At 39.4% G+C, this 7,037-nt stretch overlaps 1 long non-coding RNA gene across 1 annotated transcript; it reads right to left on the minus strand.

Moving 5' to 3' along the window:
* Positions 1-1,338: 1,338 nt before the first annotated feature.
* On the minus strand, positions 1,339-5,259 carry LINC02260 (long intergenic non-protein coding RNA 2260). Its single transcript, NR_134657.1, has 2 exons — positions 5,011-5,259; positions 1,339-3,305 (listed from the first exon to the last, which is right to left on the minus strand). It is a non-coding gene; the product is annotated as a long intergenic non-protein coding RNA 2260 (long non-coding RNA).
* Between the last annotated feature and the right edge of the window lie 1,778 nt (positions 5,260-7,037).

Consider the following 7,037-nt stretch of genomic DNA (forward strand, 5'->3'; position numbering starts at 1 on the left):
AAAAAAACTGAAAAATGCCATTTTAACTTTAGCCAATATGTCCACACATAGAATTTTTTACAATTAATTTTTTATAAACCTTCCACAACTTGTTCAAACATTTAGCTTTATTTAATTTAAAACAATGCTTTAACCCTCTAACCTAGGCAAAAATTTACATTCCCTTACCTTCTTATAATCTCTTACAAAAATACTTTTTATTCTCCTTACACACCTTGTATGTAAACTCATTTTTTCAGTAGTCTCAATTGCATATTACAATGTTAACTCTTAGAGACTTTTACTTTTGGTGAAAATCTTGGTAAGTAAGGGATTTTAATTATGTACTAGATGGGGAGCCTAGGACCCAGACAGAAATGCACATAAGGTCTGACTCTTTCCATCATCTAACTCCACATGTCCCAGGCCTTACCTAGCCGTAAAATAGGCAAGCTGTACAGTCATAGTGGCATGTTATAAATCATTTAGGAGGCCTATTCACCTTTATTTATTTATTTATTTATTTATTTATTTATTTATTTTTTTTTTTTTTTGAGATAAAGTCTCACTCCTTTGCCCAGGCTGGAGTGCAGTGGTGCCATCTCGGCTCACTGCAACCTCCACCTCCTGGGTTCAAGTGATTCTCCTGCCTCAGCCTCCTGAGTATCTGGGATTACAGGTGTGCGCCCTCACGCCTGGCTAATTTTTATATTTTCAGTAGAGACGGGTTTCACCATGTTGGTCAGGCTGGTTTCAAACTCCTGACCTCGTGATCCACCCACCTCAGCCTCCCAAAGTGTTGGGATTACAGGAGTGAGCCACTGCCCCCAGCCCTAATCACCTTTAAATTATACATTTCTGGCATAAATTTATTTTCATAAATTCTTTCATGACTTACACAGACTATGTGAGACATGTTTAGACTTTCTGAGTGACTTGCCCTAAACGTCCTTCTTTTTAAACAACCAGTCATTTTACTTTAGGACAAGAATTTACCATACAACATCCTTTCTTATATAAAATCTATTTTCTTTATAGCCTTCTTTGCATAGCTAAGGGGCATGGCTAATTCCATATATCCCCAGGCCTTATTTAGAATGTAATGTCTCCAGAATAAATTGAACAATTTTCAAAAGTCAAAGCAGTTTATGACCTTAAAGCATTTAGCAAATCTAATATCTGACCTGCATAATTTAGACAAAAATGTCTTTATTTTATCAGTAATCTTTAAAGCTGTTTTTATTTTGCTTTCTAAATATTTAATTTGAGCTTATTTTTGTTTAAGCCAATTAATCAGAGCTCTTTTATATAAACATTACACACAACACATATATAATTATACAGACAGACAGAAGAAGATTACCACAGTAGTTGTAAGATTTTTTATTTTGCCAGTTTTTATGTTTCTTAACTGGTTATTGGCTTTTGGGTGGAGCCCTTGGAAGAAGAGGGCCAGAAAGGGATTTCTGGTGCCTTCTGTTTTTCCCAAGAAGTCCAGGCAGTTAGAGCTTCAATATCCACTTTTAATTAAGCTGACTTTTAACCATAGCACTCTTTAATAAAGTCCTTTTAAAATTTTTTATTACCCAATTTTAGCCAGGCCAAACGGCTGGTATTTCTGGCTTTTGAACTCTACCAAAGGTAACCTCCCAGGTGCTCAGAGAAAGGAAAATTAGATAGTACATGGAGAAGAGACTAGACAAGGTCATACAAATATTAAACTAAACGCAACTTACTTCATAGGCAGGGAATTGAACCCAGACCACCAGTATGAAAGAGCAAAGCCTTAGCTACTGAGCTCCAACATGGGGCAATCTTTTATGACCTCTCCCAGGAGGAATCTAGAGTAGTTAATTTTGAGCTTGCAAAGGCTTTTAGCTACTCGAGATAATTTTTAGAGCTAACTATGACATAAGCCCTAAAATTCCTGTTCCCTGGAAGGCGGAAACCAAGAGAAAGTACCGCCACATGGTTACAAGGTCAAGCTCCCAAGGACGTAAAACAAAATGGAGATAAACAGCAATTTTTACCGTTCATTCAACCATTTGCACAGAGAGAGAGAGAAGCCTGAAATCTAACTGGTAAGAAATTCTTAACTTTTTGCCGGGATGCCAGGCTTCTGGGTACGCTTTCCATGAGCGCCCCTAGTGACTCAGCTTGCCACACCATCGCACTGGGGCAAAGCCACATCATAAAGGAAAATTATCTTTTTTTTGTCCTGGCCAGAGTAAAATATGTGTGACAAAAACATAGACATTAGCCACTGTGGTTGGCACCCAATGTCAAACCAGCAAGGCTCAAATTTGCCCCTGGTTGGGCCCCATCATTGTTAATCCAACCTCCGACCAGGAGTTTCAACCTGTGGTCTCTGGGCAAGGTGGTCTCCCTGAGTAATAGAAAACATAAGAAAGGGAAAGGAGAGAGAGAAAAGCATTGCCTGTGGCAAGGTGGGGAAGGTGAAATGATCAGGGAGGCCACAGAAAGACCCACCTATTGCAGCGACACTGAAAAGTTCAGGCCGCTGCTTCTTGGTACCAAATGGATCTTTTCCAACGGTCCCATCATCTCTAAAGTTTCCCCTTTTAGGGAAGAAAAAGCTTCCCATGTCCCACGATCCTGTACATGCCTAATCCTGTCACCCACAGCCATCAGCAAAGAGTGCAAGGCAGATTATGCCAAAGAGAACAGCAATTGACATGCTGGAGTGCCAAACCCTTTCTCAGCTAAAAGGGACTTTACCAAGAGCCCTCATTTTTTAAATGTACTTCAATGCATTGTTGTTCTTTGGGAATGTTCCACTGTAAGGTATCTTTAGTAAGATTTTGCTGTTTCTGTAAGACTTCACTGCCTCCCAGGCCTAAAGTATAAGCCAGAAGGAACTCGGTTTTCCAGAAATTAAGGATCCCATTTTTACCTCAAATATTGGCTTTATGCTCAGGTTCTCTTGATTAACTTAGCCAATGATTTTTTTCCCCTACCTAAGCGTGCAAGAAAAATGAAACAAAGGGATATAATGCAAAAATCCCTGTGAATGTTCAAAATCCACCTGTTCCTTTCTCACCCAGTCAGACGTAAGAGGCCTCTAACTTGATCCAAGCCAGTTAATTTCTGGATCAAATCCATTCCTGGACCCAGTCCAGTTTCTGTTGCGACTCCAAACCCAGTTTGGATCAGAAATTTGTTCAAAGAAACTCGGAGAGCTCAAAACACAAATCCACGGAGCTCCAAAATCTGAGACAAGTGGGTCCTGCAGGTAGCTTGCGTGTTCACTCAGCCCTCCTAGTGGTCGCTAGAAGCTCCACTTCGGATACCGCTTCTGACACCATCTGATAAAAGAAAAACTTAAGCCGAATTAAATTTAAAAGAGTTTAATGGAGCAATGAATGATTCGTGAATCGGGCAGCCCCCAGAATCACAGCAGATTTACAGAGACTCCAGGGGTGCCTTGTGGTCAGAACAAATTAATAGATAAAAAGGGGAAAGTGACGTACAGAAATCAGAAGTGAGGTATAGAAACAGTGAGATTGGTTAGAGCTGGGCATTTGCCTTATTTAAACGCAGTTTGAACATTCAGCAGTCTATGAGTGGTTGAAGTATGGCTACTGGGATTGGCCAACACTCAGCCATTGTTAGAGGTGCATACTATTAAGTAACATTTTCAATTTTGTCTGTAGTCATCCGCAAGGACTCAAATATAGAAGTATAGAGTACTTCTCAGGCCATATTTAGTTTGCTTTAACAAGGGTAATGAACTAAATGTACAAACATCAACATGTGTAGACCCTTCAAACAGGGTAAGAAACAGAAGATTTGTAGCACCATTCTATGTATGTAAATTGAAATCAAATATATACATAGCACTACAGAAAAGGTACATGCATTTTAAGAACATATCATGAATACGTTAAATTGAGTCCTGTGGAGGTGGGGAATGGGAGTGGAGATTGGAGATGAAGGGGAAATATACAAAATAAAATCAAACATGACAGGGACCGTGTATGGGTCAATGATTATGGTGTTTTATGAAGTAAGAATGATTAATTCAATTCTCTAGATTGTGAGTAAAGTAAAACATATATAATTTTCAAAAAAATTAATAGCAGGGGATGGGCGCGGTGGCTCACGCCAGTAATCCCAGCACTTTGGGAGGCCGAGGTGGGCGGATCACGAGGTCAGGAGATCAAGACCATCCTGGCTAACATGGTGAAACCCCATCTCTACTAAGAACACAAAAAATTAGCCGGGTGTGGTGGCGGGCGCCTGTAGTCCCAGCTACTTGGGAGGCTGAGACAGGAGAATGGAATGAATCTGGGAGGCAGAAGTTGCAGTGAGCCAAGATCGTGCCACTGCACTCCAGCCTGGGCAACAGAGCAAGACTCCACCTCAAAAAAAAAAAAACTTAATAGCAAATTAGTTATGTGAAATGGTTTCTAATGCCTTTACAGGTTTTCTGCTTGCTGCTGAAGTTAGAGTTTAGTTTTAGTTTTAGTTGTGCTCAGCTGGTTCACCCCAGCTGCTTTGTAACAGATTTGTCAATCCAACTCAACTGAATTTCAATTTTGTGAGTGATCACATTTCAGACACTAATCCCTTCTCAAGTGCTTGAAATACAGGCAAAATATTTATTTGAACTAGCTGATTAACAAATCTGTGAATTAAGTGATACACAAAAGGCAATGAACTGGAATGAAAAGTATTGGAAGAGAGAAACCTGCTCTACCATTTCTAAATCTTTGTCTTCCAAAATGCATGCATTTGAAATAACAATGAAACTTTCACTCCCCAAAGTCATTGACCCAAAATATAGAAAAATCTGGAATATATTGAAATTTGGTCGCAGAAAAACAGCTAGAATAAACTAGAACTAAGTTCAAATGAAAACTAAACCAAAGTAAATCTTCAAATTTATCAATTAATATTGCATGAAAATCTTTAATATCTGCTAAAAATAATTCCATCCGAAACAAATTAATATAAACATTATGAACAGTTAAAAAGAAATAGGTAAATTGACAAACAAGGAGAACTTACTTGAAAATCCGGCTGATCATTTGGAGAATTCATCCTTAGTAAATTGACCTGGAGTGTAAAGGACTAATCATTTCCTCTTCCCTCCTCAAGCTTGCCTTTGACATTCATCAGAACTGTGGGCACTTGGATCAAAACGCTGGAGGGTGAGATTGGAGGAGGGGCAGTGAGATTGACCTCAAATATGTTCATCTTCAAAGACAGCCCCATCTACCATGTGGCAGAATTTCAATACATGCATCCCCATCTCCCTGAACCTGATTACAGGAAACCAAGCAGAAAAAATTAACCTTGGGCTGAATCCAGTCCACTTGCAGCTGCAGCCCAAGTGGCCTTTTTAAAGCACACATTTGATCATGCCACTCCCCAGCTTAAACCATTTCAAGGACTCAGGATCAAGTACCAACAGCAGCTCGAGGCTTACAAGACCCTTCAAAATAAACCTGCTTCTTTGACCTCAGCTGAAGCCTCCTCCTCCTCCCCAGCCTCCAAAGCCTCCTGGGCTTTTCTTTTCCATGCTGTTTCCTCTGTCTAAAATACTCGCTTCCTGTATCTCCTATCCCCAAATATCTGTTAGCTAACCCTTTTTCAAAAATGACTCCCATTAGATACAACTTCCTCTAGGAAGCCTAAAATTAAGAAAACTGCTACCAGTACTGCAGTATTAGGAGACAGTTACCTGTGGTTCTCTCACATTTGTGCACATCTCACAGAGGTACTCTCTTCTCTTTGTTCCAGATTAGCTTTGCAAGAATGTTTGGATAGCAAACAGCCTTAGAAGACAGAGATAGGGTCTCTCTCTGGAGCAAAGGGCAAGTTGGCTTTCAGTCTTACAAGATAGAAACAATGTCTCCCTCTCTCCAGATCAAAGGGCAGGTATGCTTACTGCCCATTATAAAAGATAGGTTCCCTTGGATGGAGCTGGAGGCCATTATCCTTAGCAAACTAATGCAGGAACAGAAAACCAAAAGCTGCATGTTCTCACCTGTAAGTGGGAGCTAAGTGATGAGAACTCATGGACACAAAGAGAAGAACAACAGACACTGGGGCCTACTTGACAGTTGAGGGTAGGAGGAGGGAGAGGATCAGAAAAAAAATAACTATTGAGTGCTAGGCTTAGTACCCAGGTGACAAAATAATCTGTACAACGAACTCCTGTGACGCCAGTTTACCTATATAACCAACCTGCACGTGTATGCCTAAACCTAAAATAAAAGTTTAAAAATAATAAATAAATAAACGATGGGTTCCCTAAGCTCAGGGTTTTTCTCCTGTAAGGCAGTTCTCTATGTGTAAGTACAAAGATCTGGAGCTTTTCATATTGCCTGGATGGAATTTGGAGGCAAGGAGACCTGACACAGATAGGCTGTTCATGCCACTTGCTGTGTAATGAGCAATAAAGTGCTTTGTCTCTGACCCAGGAATCTCATGACTTCTGCCAGCATCCATGCAACTACAATAGACTAACATCAGTTTGAAAGTAGAAGACAAACTCAGACCCTTCTCAGTTCTTGACACTAATATAGTAATATTAATTTTCTGATTTTGATGGTTGTGCTGTGGTTTACTGGGATTAGGTCCTTGTTTGTGGGAAATAAACACTAAAGTGTTTAGGATTGGTGGGGTATCATGTGGACAAATTTCTCTTAAGGACCAAAAAAGGCATTGTATTGTACTTGCAACTTTTCTGTATATTTGAGATTGTTTTACTTTTTTTAAAAGATTGATCAGTGGGCTCAGGTGATATTAGCCTGATCCATCCACTACACAGTTTCCTGTTAACTTTTTATTTTGTGGTTTTGGCAATTGTTGACAATGATTGCCCAAATCTGTTTTTCATTAGAGATTCCAAAATGTTGATTTTCTAATTCAATTACTTATTTCAATTTTATTAACTGTAATACTTCTATAAAAAAGAATTTCTTCTTGTCAACTATCTGGTTACCCTGAAATAAAATTTATACAGGAAAAGCAGGAAAAAAAGAAATTGATTCTGTCCCTTTATTTTCAAAGTAATGATTTGTTGCCCT

The sequence above is a fragment of the Homo sapiens genome, chromosome 4 (assembly GCF_000001405.40).
Source record: "Homo sapiens chromosome 4, GRCh38.p14 Primary Assembly".
NCBI classification, from domain to species: Eukaryota; Metazoa; Chordata; class Mammalia; order Primates; family Hominidae; genus Homo; species Homo sapiens.